Raw genomic sequence first — 16,884 nt, forward strand, 5'->3', positions numbered from 1 at the left:
ACGATAGAAAAGGTTGGTTAGTAGATATAAAATTACAGCTAGATAGGAGGAATAAGTTCTAGTGTTCTACAGCACTGTGGGATGACTATAGTTAACAATAGTTTTGTGTATTTTCAGATAGTTACAAGATAGGATTTTGAATGCTCCCAACACGAAGAAAGAATAAATGTTTCATGTGATGGATATGCAATTACCTTGATTTGATCATTACACATTTTATACATGTATCAAAATATCACTGTATCACATAAATATGTACATTATGTGTCAACTAAAAATAATTAAGGCTCACAACTCCAGGAAGTTCCACAGGAGTTCCGCTAGAAAGCAGAGCTTCCACACTACTGTGGATATTCTTTGAAAGCCTCAGAACTCTCCAGGAATTGAGAGGTTTTCTTAGATATGGTCCTAGATAAGATTTTCAGGGATACCCCAGTAAGAAACAAAGCCTTCAAATGATGCTGTTTGTGATGCGGTGGCAGGCCTGGGTATATCCAAAGACATTTCTCTAAAATTTTGAGAGATTTTCTCCCCTGACATACATCTCTTGTTAGCAAAAGACATTGCATTGAATTCTTACTTGAGGACATAGATGGCCTTGGGGACCATCTGTTCAAAGTTTTCTGGATTTCATGCCAACTTGTGTGAAATCCAAAACAAGCACTGTGTCTACCAAAGGTAAATCATTAAGCCTGGAACAGCCAGCAGGAGACCTGAATTCTTTTCTTGGCTACTTTCAAAAATAGTTGACTATACCACAGGCAATTTTTTTTCAGCACCCTGCAATTCAGAACCTCATGTCAAAAAGCACATTACTTTTGGCAATTAACTGATTTCACATTATAATGCAATTCAAAATTTATTATAGTCAAGTATTCTGGTTATGTCAGTGGTGGTAACTGATAAGCTATGTTATCTATTCTTTTTAAAGATGGGGTTGTGCTATGTTGCTCAAACTGGAGTGCAGTGGCTATTCATAGGCATGATCAAAGCACACTATAGCCTCAAACTCCTAGGCTCAAAGGATCCTCCTACCCTAGCCTCCTGAGTTACTGGGGCTACAGACATGTGTCACCATGCCTGGCTAAGCCATGTTATCTCAAATGGACATTTTCACATTACTACACCAGTAATCCACTAATTGTGCCATTTGTCAGTCATGGAGAAGCTGCTGTGTGTGTGTGGACTTAGACCACCCACTGTTTGAGGCACAGGGCAGCTTTTATTTTCTTTTTGCAGACAAATTTCTCTAGCCAGACTGGACTTTGGCCAAGGAGGCACTGTCTAGTGTCTTCCCTGCATAAAATTCTTGTATTTTTGATGTGAAGTAGTCTTTGTGCTGCTATCATCACTGTGATACTGATGGAGGTCAGAGGGGATGGACAGCTTGTGGACTGAGAGCCACAGAAGGCTGTCCTTTAACACAAGCTCCTTCATTCTGCCAAGCAGACCTCCGTAGGGAGTTGCTAGGCCATCCAAGGTTCAGCTGTACTGACATGGAACTGGAAACTGGACAAGAAATGGAAATATACTGTGACTTCCTCTCTCTTCTTCTTCTATGTTTGCCAAATAGCAGTTTAGCTTTGATATCAGGAACACAAATGAGGCTGAGGGAAAGAGGAGGTGTTTGTGGGTCTTTGTCCTCATTTTTCCATTCCTACTCACCTTCAGCCACTGCCATAGTTCCATGGAACATCTGTTTCCAGGTAACCTGACAGAACATGGGAATAGCACCTTTGGAGTTCATCTGTTTGGGGCCCCTCTGAAATGTTTCCACAGAGTCACATCTTTTTTTCCAACAAAATGTTTTTCCTTCCTAATTTACTTCTCCCTTCAGTTTGCTATTGGAACCAGGGACAATGATAATTTCGTTGAAATTGAATCAATTGGAAAGCACTGGAAAGAAGTGTGGTTTAAAATCTCAGGTTGGGTTTCTTGGAATTCTGAGCCAAGTCCCTTTCCCAGTTGCTCACAGGAAGTTTCGACTGATGTCATTGGAGAGAGTGTGTGTGTCTCTGTGTGTGTGTGTATGTTTACATCACAGTACAGCCTTAAGGATGCAGAAAAAATCCTTTCTTTCAGTTCATGTCTAATGACTGTATCACTCTTCATGCCTAGCTAATATTTGAAACCTCATGATGCTGACGAACCAGGCAACCATTCCTGTCTCAGATTGAGAGTCCCATTAAAGAGTAGCCATTTATGGGGGAAATCAGAGATTTTTGTTTCACTCAATGTTTCACAGACATAAACCTTTCCAAAATTCTCCTTCCCACTTCGAAGATGCATATTTAGATCAAGATGATACTCGATATTAATTCAGAAGAAATTATTTATTCATGCCTTACAGTTTTTCACTTCAAGTTCTAAGAGAAATTGATAGTCACTCTCATCTAAGGAGACAAAAATTATTTGTCATATGACAAAAACAGCACTTGATGTGTTAAAAGGGGCCAAACCATGTGCAGTGAGCACAATCCCACGATGCTGCATCAAGTTTCTGGTAGAGGAGCATTATGCTGGTAATGCAACATTTGTGGCTTGGCTGAAATCCACAGGCACCGTGCACCTGAACAACAAGGCACTCTTCATTTCACTTCCTTTCCTTTAACCAAGTTCAACTCCATTTTGCTTCACCCCAAACAAACTAGTATTTTATGACAGGAAAATATACAAAGGTCCATGTTTTTCTAACTTCTTCTGAGCCCCTTTTCACAGCCTGTCCTTTACTTTGCCTTCTTTTGACACAACAGTGGTAAATTATCCAAATAATGTCTTCAAGGATGTGATGAGAGACCGTGTTTAAGGGAAGCAAATCAGTATGATCTGTCTCTATCATATACTCTAGTTCTTTTCTTCTTCCTTTTGTCTGTTTTCCTTGGGGAAAATTAAACTATTTTCTTCCTGGGCTCACTTTTGTATTTTCCATACAATGTTTGGCAGGCTCCCCAATGACTTTCCTTTTCCCATCCAGACAAGATAGAGACTAATTCCAAAGCTGTGGCCCTGCTTTTCATCCTTTAAATGCAGTGTGAAACATAGGACTGATCCTCTAAATTTAATGACTGCTCTTGTTGGATTAAAAAAATCTAATTCGACAGTATTGGCCCTTAGCTTGCCACGAACCTTTCTCACTCCCCGTGGTCCTCTGTAGTTTCTGAAGTATTGGCTTCTGCTTCCTCCCACCACCAAAAACTATCCCACAAAATTTTAAAAGCCTGAGCAGCTTCCTAGTTCAAAACCAGTCATAAAACCCAGTATTCAGAGTTGTGCTTCTAGTTGGACAATGTGTGGCTTTTGAACTCTGATTTACATCCAGATTTTAGTGCATATTAACCATTGTTTTTCTCTGTCTTACATGGTAGGGTTTTTTGTAGAGTGTATCCAACTCAATCTTGCTGGTTTCCCTCCCACCCTCCTTTCCTTTAACCAACAAATTTCCCCAGTCCCCAGATACATAAAATTGGGAACTTGCTCATTGATCAGAAAATCAGTACTTGCTTCATAGTTTCTCTCTCTCATTTTAGAAGACTTTGATTTCCTCTTCTGGCATCTTTCTATCTCCTCACTCTATGTCAACAGAGGTGAACCTAGAGTAGAATATAAGGAGTTTCCAGTGTCTGGTCAAGATTTTTTCCAGGACTGGTCATTTTCCTGGCATTACCAACCACCTCAGGAGGCAGTGGCTCCTTAATTCTGGGCTGTGAAAAAGATATGCTCCATGAATGCAGGAATTTTATCTGCTTTCCTTATAGCATGTAGAACAGTGCCTGGCACCTAGTAGGTTCTTAATAAACATTATATGAATTAATGCATACAATCCTGATGAATTGGAGAGTTTTTAATTCAAATAATAGTTCATCATTTTTAAGATATATCATGAAAATATCTGAAGGCGTTTTCATGCTTCAATATTTGATATTTTAAGTGTTCCCATTTTCACCATGAACTCAGATTAAAAACAAACAAATGTATTTCGGCTCAGTCAGGTGAGGAACAGATACTTCTGGAAGAGCCTTTATGATGGCTGCCCAAGGACATTCCTAAGTTTTACTTAAACATGTGTTGGCTGGAGATGGCAGTACTGGTAAAACTATATTTGGGAAATGTTAATGTCATTTGAATGGTGAATTTGAGAAGCATATAGTCACTTTAGTTATTGAGGTCCATCACCTGTGTTTCCTACCAACACTAGACCTTTTAAATTCAATGTACCAAACATACACTTGGTGGCCTGATAAATGGCTGTTGTATCCAAGTCCAGTGTACCATTATCATGTCTGATATAACATCAAGACTTATAAGTATGTATCTAATTGGCACTGAGGTCAGATGGCAGTATATGGAAACATCCCATCACATTGTGTGGCAATGCAATGACACCGGAGTTAGGCATGTTAGATATGAGTTCTAAATTTCTCTTCAAAGAATCAATATGTCAGTAGGTTCAATTCTTTGCCTTCTACTTTTAAACTTAACTTCCTCATAAAGCAACCTTTTCTGATTACCTGCTCCATCCTGACTCATTCCGATTTCCTGCTCTGCCATAACCATTTTTCCCACCAAACCACTCACCCCGTCACTATCTTCAAATTAGTCAGCCGGAATTAGTTTAGCCTGTGCTGTCTAACCTTAGCCAACAGGGGAACTACACAGCAGCAGGGGCCACGTGCATCAGGAATAAGACCCCCTTTTCGAAACTCCCTTGTCCAGGTGTGCATTCACCATTGCTCCATCTGTGAGGTTGCACCCTTCTATAGAAGTAAACTGCCTTGCTGAGAAGAAAAAAAAGAAAATTTTCTATTCGAGTGCTATTTCTTCTGTGGCACCAAAAACTTTATTTATAACAGGCAGATAGTGAGGGTACAGAAGTGCTTAGTAAGGTTTTCCTTTTAATGAAGAGCAGCCCCAAATCATTTTTCTTTCTAACAAAGAGCAGCCTGTAAAATGGAGCTGTAGACATAGATGCTGGCAGTTGTGCCAACCGTGTTCAAAATGGCAGCTCCATCTTGCATTCTCCACCAGCTACCTGTACAGTAAGGAGCAGACAAGATGGCTCTGGCCAAGGGGAAAGTTCATTTGCATAATAAGATTAGGGTGAGGCAGCCAGCCTTCCCCAGTGCCCTATGTAAACGTCATACCTGATTAAACCAATTTCTGAGCCCTAAGTAAATCAAACACTGCCTCCCCAAGCCAGACTATAAAATCTGGTGCATCCACCACCAGCAGGCTGCCTTTTACCCTCGGAACTCCCCTCTCTGTCACTAGAGAGCTATTTTCCTTTCTCTTGCCTATTAAACCTCTGCTCCTAAATTTTCCTGGCACAAGATGATGAAACCTGGGTATTTATCATAGACAATGTAGCTGCTTCAGTAATGGATAGTAAAGACAGGAAAATTAAGGCAAAATTTATTGTCTTCCAGTGAAACAAATATCACTAGTGCTACGACATTTCTGCCAGAAGCAATGGCAACTTTGAAAGACCTTTTCATTGGCTTGCTGGAAAACTAACTGACAATGCTTACCAGAAGTGCCTTGCTGTGTTTGTTCTGGTCCTACCAGAGGTTGCCATGGATCTACCTCTGGAAACTCATGAAGCACATGACTTAGTGTGGCTCTGACAACTGTTCTCCTGAGGGGAATGATACCCTGCAAGAGAAGGTGAAGTCAGAAGCCTACTTTCATAGGTGCTTGTTCTCTGATGTCTGAGATGCAGCGTTCTCTGATGTCTGAGATCCCATTTTATTATATGGCCAACCAGACTGTGAGCTCAAACTTTGGGATGCTAAAGGGAATGAATGTGGCAGTTTAAAAAAAAATACCTTTATATTTTAGACCTCCATATTTGGCTGCTTAGATCCCAGTTGTTTCCTTCCTGAGTTTCAAATGTAAGAATGCTATAGTCACAACACACTCAGACACAAAATCACTGGGTTTCGATTTTTCTTCTGGAATTGGGACATACATGAGTGAATAAAATATCCCTGGGAAAAACTCTAAATATCCAACAAACTAGTAAATCAAGATATAACAACACATTATTAAAAATTTAAAATATATAAAAAATACTGTAGTAAACTGATAAAAAGCAGAATACAAATTAAATATACATATAGTCACAATTATAGTTCAAAATTAAAAAATAAGCCAGGCACAGTGGCTCATGTCTGTAATCCCAGCACTTAAACCTAATGGGAAATACGTTTTAAACAGTTAACATGGGATTATAAGTAGTTTTCTTCTTCTTCTGTGCATGTGTGTATTTAATTTGATAACATTTTATTGTAATGGAGGAAAAGTAAACTGAATTGACTAAAAATCATCAAGCATTAAAAATTCCTTGAAAATTAAAGGAAGCATAAAAATAGCCTATGATCATTAGATTACTGGCAAATATTTATAAAATAAGACATTGATGTATCACTTATCTACATTATGAAAAACAATTACATGACAAACGCATCATTTTAAGATGATTCTGTATCAATAGGATTTCAAAATATGGCTTCCAGTACTTCCCAAAACTTTCAAGATCATCAAAAACAAAGAAAGTCTGAGAAACTCTCACAGTTTCAAAGCAACACAATTGTGCAATACCGTTCCTATCCTCTTTTGGTTTATTTCTCTAATAAGAGCCAGTTATTTCTGTGTCTTTGGCCATAGCTGTATAAAGCTAATTAATAATTTTGGTGGATGTATTTACTATTCTAACCCTCCTCCCCCAAATATTTTCTCAGTCTGAATTAAGGCAATTATTTTATTGGAAAAAAATAGTTCTAATAGCTGGCTCAGTGTCCCTGGCCTGATTATTGTGATTATAAGCTATTTACTGAAATTAAATGCTATTGGCTACATGCTGGCTGTGTTACACAGTGTTCAAACTTTTTGTCTTCTATTTGCATCTATTTTTGCAAGAGAAAAGAATTATTCTAGTCTATATTTAAAAACTAATCCAATAGATTTTCTGCAAAGCTCTCTTCAGTACATAAATTTTAAAAATCTCTATCCTTTTTTCCTACACTGTTTTTCCTTCCATTCACTCATTTATTCCACAGGTATTTTTATTTTAGAGCAGTTTGAAATTTACAGGAAAAAATTGCAGTTGATAGAGTTCCCACATATCCTACAGCCAATTTTCTCTATTATTGGCATCTTACATTAGTATGGTGTATTAGTTATAATTAATAAATTAATGCTGATAAATTATTAACTAAAGTTTATACCTAATGCCTATTTATTTAGTTTTTTTTTAAACAAAATATCCTTTTTCTATTCCAGGATCCCAACTACAATACGACGTTGCATTTAATCATAATATCTCCTTAGGTTCCTCTTGGCTGTGACAGTTTCTCAGACTTCCCTTGTTTTTGATGATCTTGAAAGTTTTGAGAAGTACTGAACGGGTATTTTGTAGAATTTTCCTCCCTTGGGATTTATCTGATTTTTTTTTTTTATGTTCTAACTAGACTGTGGTTGTGTGTTTTCAGGGGGAATATCACAGAAGTGAAGTGCAATTCTCATCATGTCATATCAAGAGCACACACTAACAAACAACATGACTTATTGCTGAATATTGAACTTGATCACCTGGCTGAGGTAGTGTTTGCCAGATTTCTCTGTAAAGGTACTGTTTTTACCTCCATTCTATATTGTACTCCTTCAAAAGAAATCGCCAACCACAGTTCATACTTAAGGGGTGGGGAGGTTATGATCTATTTATTTGAGGACAGAACATCTCCATAAATTATTTGGATTCTTCTGCATGGAAGATTTGTCTACTCTCACCAATTTACTAATTCATTCAACTATTTATATCCGTATGGACTCATGGATATTTATTTTATACTTTGGGTTATAATCTAATACCACTTTACTTATTTTGTTGCTCAAATTGCTGTGGCTTTGGCCACTGGGGGCTCTTTCAGTTGATTCTCATGTTTGTTTGATATGCCCTCATGCATGTGGAGTTGTTGTATTTTATTTGAGCACTGCCTTATTTTTTTGGTACTAAAGGATGTTCCAGGATCATCACAGATATATTCTGCCCCAGTCTTAGAATCAGCCCATTTTCCAAGGAACCCTAACTCCATTTATTCGAGAAAGGTATTAAAACCTGAATATGGGTGCTAGATGTGCTTGTTATTCCTGGGGTGTTGTTGCTTCCAGACCCTTTCAGTTGAGAGAGCAAGGAAATCTATGTGTATATAAACATATTTATAAATATTTCTATATGTAACTGTATGTTATGCTGAACGTGAGTTTATAAAGGTGTTTTCAATTCTAATCTATTAGAATGCTTTTAGTTCTAATCTGGCCTCTTCCCCTTGCTTACCTGTAAACTCTCACCCCAGTAATGAGAAGCCTAGATGTTTCCATTCACCACATATTTACTTAATTGTTCATTTCCAAGATAGATGTGCAGTGGTATCAGAACTGTTATACCTTACACAGGCATTTATTTTTGAGTGGAGTTTTTGATAATCAATTGCCTGAATCTGGGCTAAATATATGTATTTTTTAATCATCTTCATTTGTTAAATTTCATTATCTCTACCTCACAATTTAAACATTCCTATGAGTACAAACATAAAGATTATGTTTGCAACTGGAAAACATAATTTTAACACTCTCTTCCTCTCCTGTTTTAAATATGATGAAACTTGAGTTCAAAGAAGTACATACTCAAGTTCACACATGAGTAACAGTTATAGGGTGATGTCCCTTGATAGATATCTATGTTAAAATGGTAGCACACCAGTTATACCTGATCCACCATCTTTAAATTTCCTTTAAAAGACCATAAAAATACATATTAAAAAATACAATAAAAGAAAAAATATAAATAGAAATTGTGTTGATTGTAGCCCCCAAAAAATCAAAGAAATGCCCTAGACTTTTCTTTACCTATGCAGATAGACCAGAAGAAGATAAGAAAATATTTGGTTTATCTTCTCTGCTCATCCTAACTCTATAATAAAGGAGCATCAGTGTCTAAAAATATTGAGATGTTTACACAGCAATAAAATTATCAATAAAAAGGTTGAAGGCAGTAAAAAATAAATAATTAATGAGATGCCTGAATGCAGAGCATAGGGAGAAAAGACATTGTGACAGAGAAGTTGTTGACATGGAAATTAGAGGATGGATATTTTACCTGTATAAGAAATCAAAACAGGCTGGGCATGGTGGCTCATGCCTGTAATCCCAGTGCTTTGGGAGGCTGAGGTGGGAGGATCACATGAGCCCAGGAGTTGAAGAACAGCCTAGGGAAAATAGTGAGACGCTGTCTCTACAACAACAACAAGCACCAGCTGTGCAAGGTAAGAGGCTGAGGTGGGATGATCATTTGAGCCCAGGATGTCAAGGCTGTAGTGAGCTATGTTCACACCACTGCATTCCAGCCTGGGTGACAGAGCAAGACACTTATGTGTGTCTCAGAAAAAGAAAAATGAATGAAAACAAAGAGAGCAAAGAAAATCACATTTTTCAAGTCCTGAGCAGTGTAACTGAAGTAAAAGATATAGTGACTGGAATTATAATTTACCTAGAAAATAATTGACTACCTGGAAATGCAAACACACACACACACACACAAGGTCCTAGAATGCCTAAGAAAGCAGTGCACCTTACTACAATTACAAAGATACGAAGGTATGATCTTTATTAGTATAATAATAACCAGTTAGAAAGCACAATGGAAAAGTATTCCAGTGCCTATGGTGTTAGGGAACTGCTCACATATTCAAGAGAAATGCACAGATACCAAAGCAGAAAGAACAATAAACAGGAGTCCTCATGGTCAAAAGATTAGAAGACGTAGCTTTCAATGGGAGGAGGTTTTGTACCACAATGCAGCACTTTTCTTCTTTCTGTGCTGCCTTGAGGGAAGGCAGTGGTAATACTAATCGTTAACACATAATGGTTCTTATGAGGTGGACACTGTTGTAAATGCTACGTACATATTAATATACTTAGCCTTACTGTAGACTTAACCCTATAAGTTTAAGAAGCTAGGTGAACCCTACACGGGTTTAACCAAAGAAATCCAAATCAAGACACAATGTAATTAAACTTCTGAAAACTAAAGACAAAGAAAAAATACGGAAAGCAACCGGAATAAAATGATCTTAGATTCCCCTTACCTACAGGGAAAACAAAAACTATTTGTATGACAGCAGATTTCTCTTCAGTTAATACTCATATTATTTTCATTTTGTAGGTGAATAAACTGACACTGGAACATTCAGGAACTTCTTCATGGTCATGGTCACCCAGCTAGAGTGTGGAAGCCAGGCTGTCTGATTCCAGGATCTGTGTTCTTAATCCTATACATAAGGAAGCCATAATGAGTCAACCACTATTTTTAAGATTCACAGATGTTCGGGTCCAATTCACCAGAATGCCAAGTTATACAGGGTTGTGGAATCAAAAACTGCAATTAGTAATAAAATGTGATGCTATCTAGAATGTTTTTCATACATATATATGCTTCTTGGGACTCTCCCTGCAGGTTAAGAGAAATTGAGAAACGATGGAGAATTTAAGTGTTTTAGATCCTACATACATTAGACTTAAAAATAGTAACTATGTACATGAGTATTTGTAAACTTAAGAATGAACATAACATGAACCATGTGGCACCTATAAAATGAAAATAAAATACCTACAAACCAAATGAGAGCAATAAAAGAAGCTTTAAGGACTTTCACTTCAGGGAGTCTGAATTAGATGCGCTTCTTCCCATTCCTCCCTCTAATTACAACAAGCTTGGACGTTACATACAGAACAAACAGAAGGAGTCTCTGAAAGATGAAGAGAAGGCAAGTAAGCTACAGACTTCACAATGTAAGGAATAATATGGTGGTGAGTTACATTTGTGATTTTTTTTTGTCTCATATCCCATAATATCTCATATCTCATAATCAGTTAGAAAGCACAATGGAAAAGTATTCCACTGCCAATGGTGTTAGAGAACTGCTCACAAATTCAACAGAAATGCACAGATACCAAAGCAGAAAGGACAATAAACAAGAGTCTTCATGGTCAAAAGATTAGAAGCTGCAGCTTTCAATGGGAGGGACAGGTTCTGGACCACACTGCAGTGCTTTTCTGCTTTCTGTGCTTTCCCACTCTAGAGCTGAAGAAGGTAACGACCCCAAAATGTCAATATACGTAGACCAAAAACCAGCCCCAATAAAAGTCTGCTCTCTCTAGCCAAAGGACTACAGTAGGGCAGCCCAGCAAGACAGAAAACCTTCAGACAACCTACCCCAGCCAAACACTACCAAAAAAAGTAAAGTGAGCCATCACCCAATCCACATCAGTAAAAACTAAGTGGAAAGTCCAGACTTTCACCTCAAGAGGTTGCGACAAGCTACTCCAATACCCCTGCTGGGATAGTGTCACAGAAGGCTAAATAAGGAGCTGTAATGTTGATTCCCCTCCAGAAGTAAAGAGTCCGTACCTGCTATTTTCAGAGAGACCACATGGAAAGCCTAGATTTCAACACCTACCCAGCATTAATGAGGTATTCCTTCCCTTCTTTACTCTCTGGTGTCAAAGAAGCTCCATGCAGAGTCAGAATGTTTGGCATTACTCCTCAGTAGGGAGGCCACCCCCACCACGGTGTTAGTGGAGACCATGTGAGGACCAGGACTTGTACCCTGCCCAGAAGTAATGAGTAGACCCCCCTCTACAGGAAGGCCAAAGGGCAACCTAAACTTCTACCTCTCTCTGGCAGTAATAAAGTAGGGCCTCACTTTTCCCTGCTGAGCAATGTCAAAAAAAAAAGCCAGCTGAAGTAAAAGCTTATTTCTTTCTTTCTTTATACATATTTTTGGAGACAGGGTCTTATTCTGTCACCCACGCTGGAGTACAGTGGCCTCATCAGGTCTCACTGCAGCCTCAACCTCCTGGGCTCAAGCAATCCTCCCACCTCAGCCTCTTGAGTAGCTGAGACCACAGATGTGCACCACCACACATAGCTAACATTAACATTTTTTCTAGAGATGGGGTCTTCCTGTGTTGCCCAGGCTGGTCTGGAACTCCTGGGCTCAAGTGATCCTCCCACCTTGACCTCCTGGAGGGCTGGGATTACAGGTATGAGTCATCACTCCAGGCTGAAGCTTTATATAATAACCAGAGTCTCATATTACAAAATGTCAAAGATTCAGTCAAAAGTTACTTGATATCAATGGACAAGATCTCAAACTAAATGAAAAAAAGACAATTAATAGATGCTAACACTGAGATAACAAAGTTGTTAGAATCATCTAACAAAGATTTTAAAGCAGCTATAATAAAAGTGCTACTGCAAGTGATTATAAACATGCTTGAGACAAATGAAAAAGTGCTATAAAGCTAAGAAATAAAATATATAAATAAGAATCAAAGAGAAATTATAGAACTAAAAGATACCATAACTGAAATGCAAAGCTCCGTGGATGGACTCAACAACAGAATGGAAAAGACTGAGGAAAGAAGTAGTTTACAGGAAATTAGAATAGACTAGAAAAAATGAACAAGACCCTGTGCTAAAGAGCAAATATTTATGTCATTGGATTCCAGGAAAGAGAAAAGAATGAAAAAGTACTTAAATAATGGCTTAAAAACTTCTCACATTTTGCAAAGATTTAAACCTACAATTTGAGAAGCTGGGTAAACCTTAAACAGGATAAATCAAGGACACTCACACCAAGAAACATAGTAATTAAACTTCTGATTAAGGAAGAAAAAGAAAAATCTGGAAAGCAGCAAGAAAAAAATGACACACTTTCTATATGGTAAAAGCAATTTGAACAACAGAAGATTTCTCATCAGAAACTGTGGGGACCATGAGGAAGTAACAGATATTTTTCAAGTGCTGAAATAAATCAACTGTCAATACAAAATGCTCTACTCAGTGAAAATATCTTTCAGGAATAAAGGGGAAATCAGGACACGCACAGACTTTTTTTAAATTAAGAATTTATTGTCAGCTTATCTCCCTAAAAGAATGGCTAACATTCTCCAAACACGAAGGAAATTGATAAGGAATCTTGAAATTTCAGTTAGAAACAATGAATATGGCAAGCAAAATGTAGGTCAGTACACTAAGTTTAATTTCTCCTCTTGAATTTTCTAAATTATGACTTATGATTGAAGCAAAAATCATAACATTATCTGATGTATATGTAGAGGAAAGATTTAAGACAGTGATGTTATAAATGAGGGGAGTAAAGGAACATGAGATAACCACTAATATGACATACCAATAGACTATGATAAATTATGTGTCTAATGTGATTACTAGAAAAACCAGTTAAAATATAAAGATTGACGGAGTGAATTTAAAAACATGACACACTATATGCTGTTTATCATAAACTCACTTTGAAGATAATGCCATCGTCAGGTTGAAATCAAAAGGAATAAAATAGTGTATTATGTAAACCATCAAAAAGAGCAGGAATGGCCATATTAATAACATTAAAGTCAGCTTCAGAACTAAGGAAATTATCAGAGAGGGACATTATATAATGAAATAGTCGATTTACCAAAAGAACATAGCAATCATAAATGTGCATGAAGCAAACAACAAAGCTGGAAAATATATGAAGTGAAACTGATAGATCTAAAAGGAGAAACAGATAAATCCATTCATTATAGTTGGGGCCTTTATCACCCCTCACTCAACAATTGATAGAACTGGACAGAAAACCAGTAAGAATATAAAAGAACTCAACAACATGAGACAATAGGATCTAGTTGATATTTATAGAACATTCCAACAGCAGAATACATGTTCTTCAAGTGCTCACAGAACACACATATAAAGATAGACCCTGAGCATAAAACAAGCCTCAACAAATTTAAAAGAACTGAAATACTACAAGTACTTTCTCCAACCACAAAAGAACCAAACTAGAAATAAATAACAATGATAATGGGAAAATCACCAAACACTTGAAAACTGAACAACAATATTTTATAACCCATGGTCATAGAGGAAATCTCAAAAGAAATTTTAAAAATGCACTGAACTGAATGAAAATGAAAACAACATAAAATTTGTGAGACACATAAAGCAGAACTGATGGGAAAATATATAGCACTAAATGCATGCTCTAGAAAAGAAAAGTCTTCAACCAGTAACCTAAGCTTCCACCTCAAAAACCTAAAAAAAGAAGGAAAAATAGACCCAATGCCAGCAGAAAGATGCAATAACAAAGAGTAGAACTCAATGAAATTGAAAACAGATAAACACTTTAAAGAATAAAACAAAGAGCTGGTTATTAGAAAAGATCAATTAATTGATAAACCTCAAGCAAGACCGTCAAAAAAAAAAAAAAAAGGACTTACCTATACCAGAGATGAAATGGGATATCGCTATCAATACTGCAAACATCAAAAGGATAAGTAGATACTATGAACTGTACACACATTAATCTGACAATTTAGACAAAATAGATCATTTCCCTAGAAAACACAAACTACTACAGCTTACCCAATATAAAATAGATTATTTGAATAGCCTTATAAGTACTAAAAAAAAATTAATTAAACTCATTATTTAAAAATTCCTAAAAAGAAAGCCTCCAGAGCCAAATTGTTTCCTTCAGAATTCCACCACATTCATAAAGATTTGACAGCAATTCTATACAGTCTCTTTGAGAAAATAGAAGGGGGTATTTTCTAATTCATTTTAAGGAGCTAGTAAATACCCTGATACTGAAATGTATACTGCAAATTGATAAAATTATAGACCCCTGCATATTAAATTTCAAAATAAAAATGATAAAAATACTTGGGTAATGAATAACAGCATAACAAAAAACCACAGACCAATATCTCATGAACATAGACACAAAAAATGCTTCACAATATGACATAGAATTCAGTAATACATGAGAATTATATACCACAACCCAGTAAGACTTAATCCAAGAATGGAAGACTGGCTCAATATTTAAAAATCAATCGATGTAGTGCAAATATTAATAGCTAATGAAGAAATGTCATAAAATTAATGCAGAAAAAGGATTTGACAAAATTCAACACTCATTTATGTAAAAATGCTCTGAAAAATAGGAATTAAAGGACACCTACAAGAAACTTTCAGCTAACATAATTCTTAATGCTGAATGATTGAATGTTTTCTTCCTGAGCTTGAGAATAAGGTGAGGGTATCATCCCTAATGACGCTTATTCAACATAGTGCTCAAAGTTCTATGAAGTGCAATTAGGCAATAAAGGGAAATAAAAGACAGGTAAAAGAAGAAATTAAATTTTATTTGAAAAAGCTGATTGTCTACCTAGAAAATCTCAAGGAAAACACTATTAATATACAGAACAACCTGAATGAATCTTTGGAGAATTACGCTGCATCAGAAAAAGCCAATCACAAAAGATTACATACTATGTAATTCCATTTGTATAACATTTTGAACTGACAAAAGTATAGAAATGAACAGATTAGTGGTTGTTAGGGGTGAGGGGTTATGGGTCAGAGATAGGAGTTGGGGATATAAAAAGGCAACCTGAGGGATCCTTATGGTGATTGAAACATTCTGTATGTTGGTTCTATCAATGTCAATACTCTGGTTGGACTATGGTTCCACAGTTTTGCAAGATGTTATTGAGGAAAACGGCATAAATGGTGCCCAGGATCTCTCTATTGTTTCTTACTGATTATGTATCTGCAATGATTGCAAAATAAAAAGGTTTAATTTTTAAAAAGGATTAAACATTACATAGCATACACTTGAGTAAAAGACAAAATCTGGCTAAGGATTATTTTTGTCCTAAGTAATATGTGGATTTTGTACAACATAAATCACAATCCCCTAAAATCTATATTGTAAATTGATAAAATGTAAAACCTGTGTATTACAGAATAAAAGATGAACAAAAATTACAAAACACTAAGAAATACCCTAGTGCCCCAATGTATCAGTAGACAAACACATGGACAGATAGTTTGCAAAAGGGGAAGTACATATGGTGAATAAACATTATGAGATGTCTAATATTGTTAGCTATCAATGAAACATGAAATAAAATGATGACATTGCACACATCTCAAGTCTCTGGCAGAGCACAGACCAAACTGAAATTTCCCACTTCACCTGGAATTTAACTTGCTTAATCATTTTTCCTCAATCTAAGTAAATTCGTAACTATTCTTTCTAAATACATTCACTAGAATAATCGACAAGACACTGTACATCTCTTGACTTCTTGACCTGCAGCTTCCTGATTGCCCTCTTGGCCTTACTTAGAAAATACCCACTAGCATCCTACTATTAGTATAATTCTCAAGTCTCTCCCTGGAAATAATAACAGTCTAGGAAAAGGGCCTACAACATAAACCTCAGAGGGGTTACAGATTTTTGTGAGAAATGATATCTTCATGGGGCACACCCCACTCACAAGCACTGGGTGTGACACTCCCAGGACCCTTGGGAGTGGTGGTTCTCTGCAGCTACAGACTGATATTACAAAGATAGGGCAACCTCATAGGGAAACCTCATGGGTTTCCGAGCCTTGAATGTGCCTCATAGTTTTATTTCTTCTAAGATATGTTTCTACTGGATTGAGTTATTGTCAGTCTTCACAATTTCTCTTCATTCAATGGAAAATTTGAAAAAGAATTAGGTGTTTGGTCTGAGACTGGGAAGTGGACAGGCCTGGCCCTGACATTTATGGGATCTACTCAAGGGTATAGAAGGAGACACACACTATGAGCAGTGAAACCCTGAAGCCAAGCCAACCAATTCCTGTTTACAACTTGCGCAGACCTCCCAACTCTGCTTATATCACCCGTTCCAGGTTAGAAGGCCAGATTCAAACAGAATTCCTGCAGAAATTCCTATAGATTCTCTCAAATCCTCAGCCAGAATATGG

General features: G+C 36.8%; 1 long non-coding RNA gene and 1 pseudogene across 9 annotated transcripts in view; both read left to right on the plus strand.

Annotated features, from left to right (window-relative positions):
* The window catches only part of LOC105379362 (uncharacterized), a 122,073-nt gene extending 106,171 nt beyond the window's left edge, over positions 1-15,902 (plus strand). For 5 of the 9 annotated variants that reach the window (NR_188155.1, NR_188148.1, NR_188151.1 and 2 more), the window contains 2 exons: positions 7,488-7,624; positions 10,220-15,902. This is a non-coding gene — a long non-coding RNA (uncharacterized LOC105379362). The remainder of the gene's footprint in view (positions 1-7,487; positions 7,625-10,219) is intronic. The other 4 variants (NR_188153.1, NR_188150.1, NR_188152.1 and 1 more) reach the window with 2 other exon arrangements.
* On the plus strand, positions 5,376-5,646 carry RANP9 (RAN pseudogene 9; annotated as a pseudogene).
* Positions 15,903-16,884: the final 982 nt, after the last annotated feature.

The sequence above is a fragment of the Homo sapiens genome, chromosome 8, assembly GCF_000001405.40.
Source record: "Homo sapiens chromosome 8, GRCh38.p14 Primary Assembly".
Taxonomy (NCBI): Eukaryota; Metazoa; Chordata; class Mammalia; order Primates; family Hominidae; genus Homo; species Homo sapiens.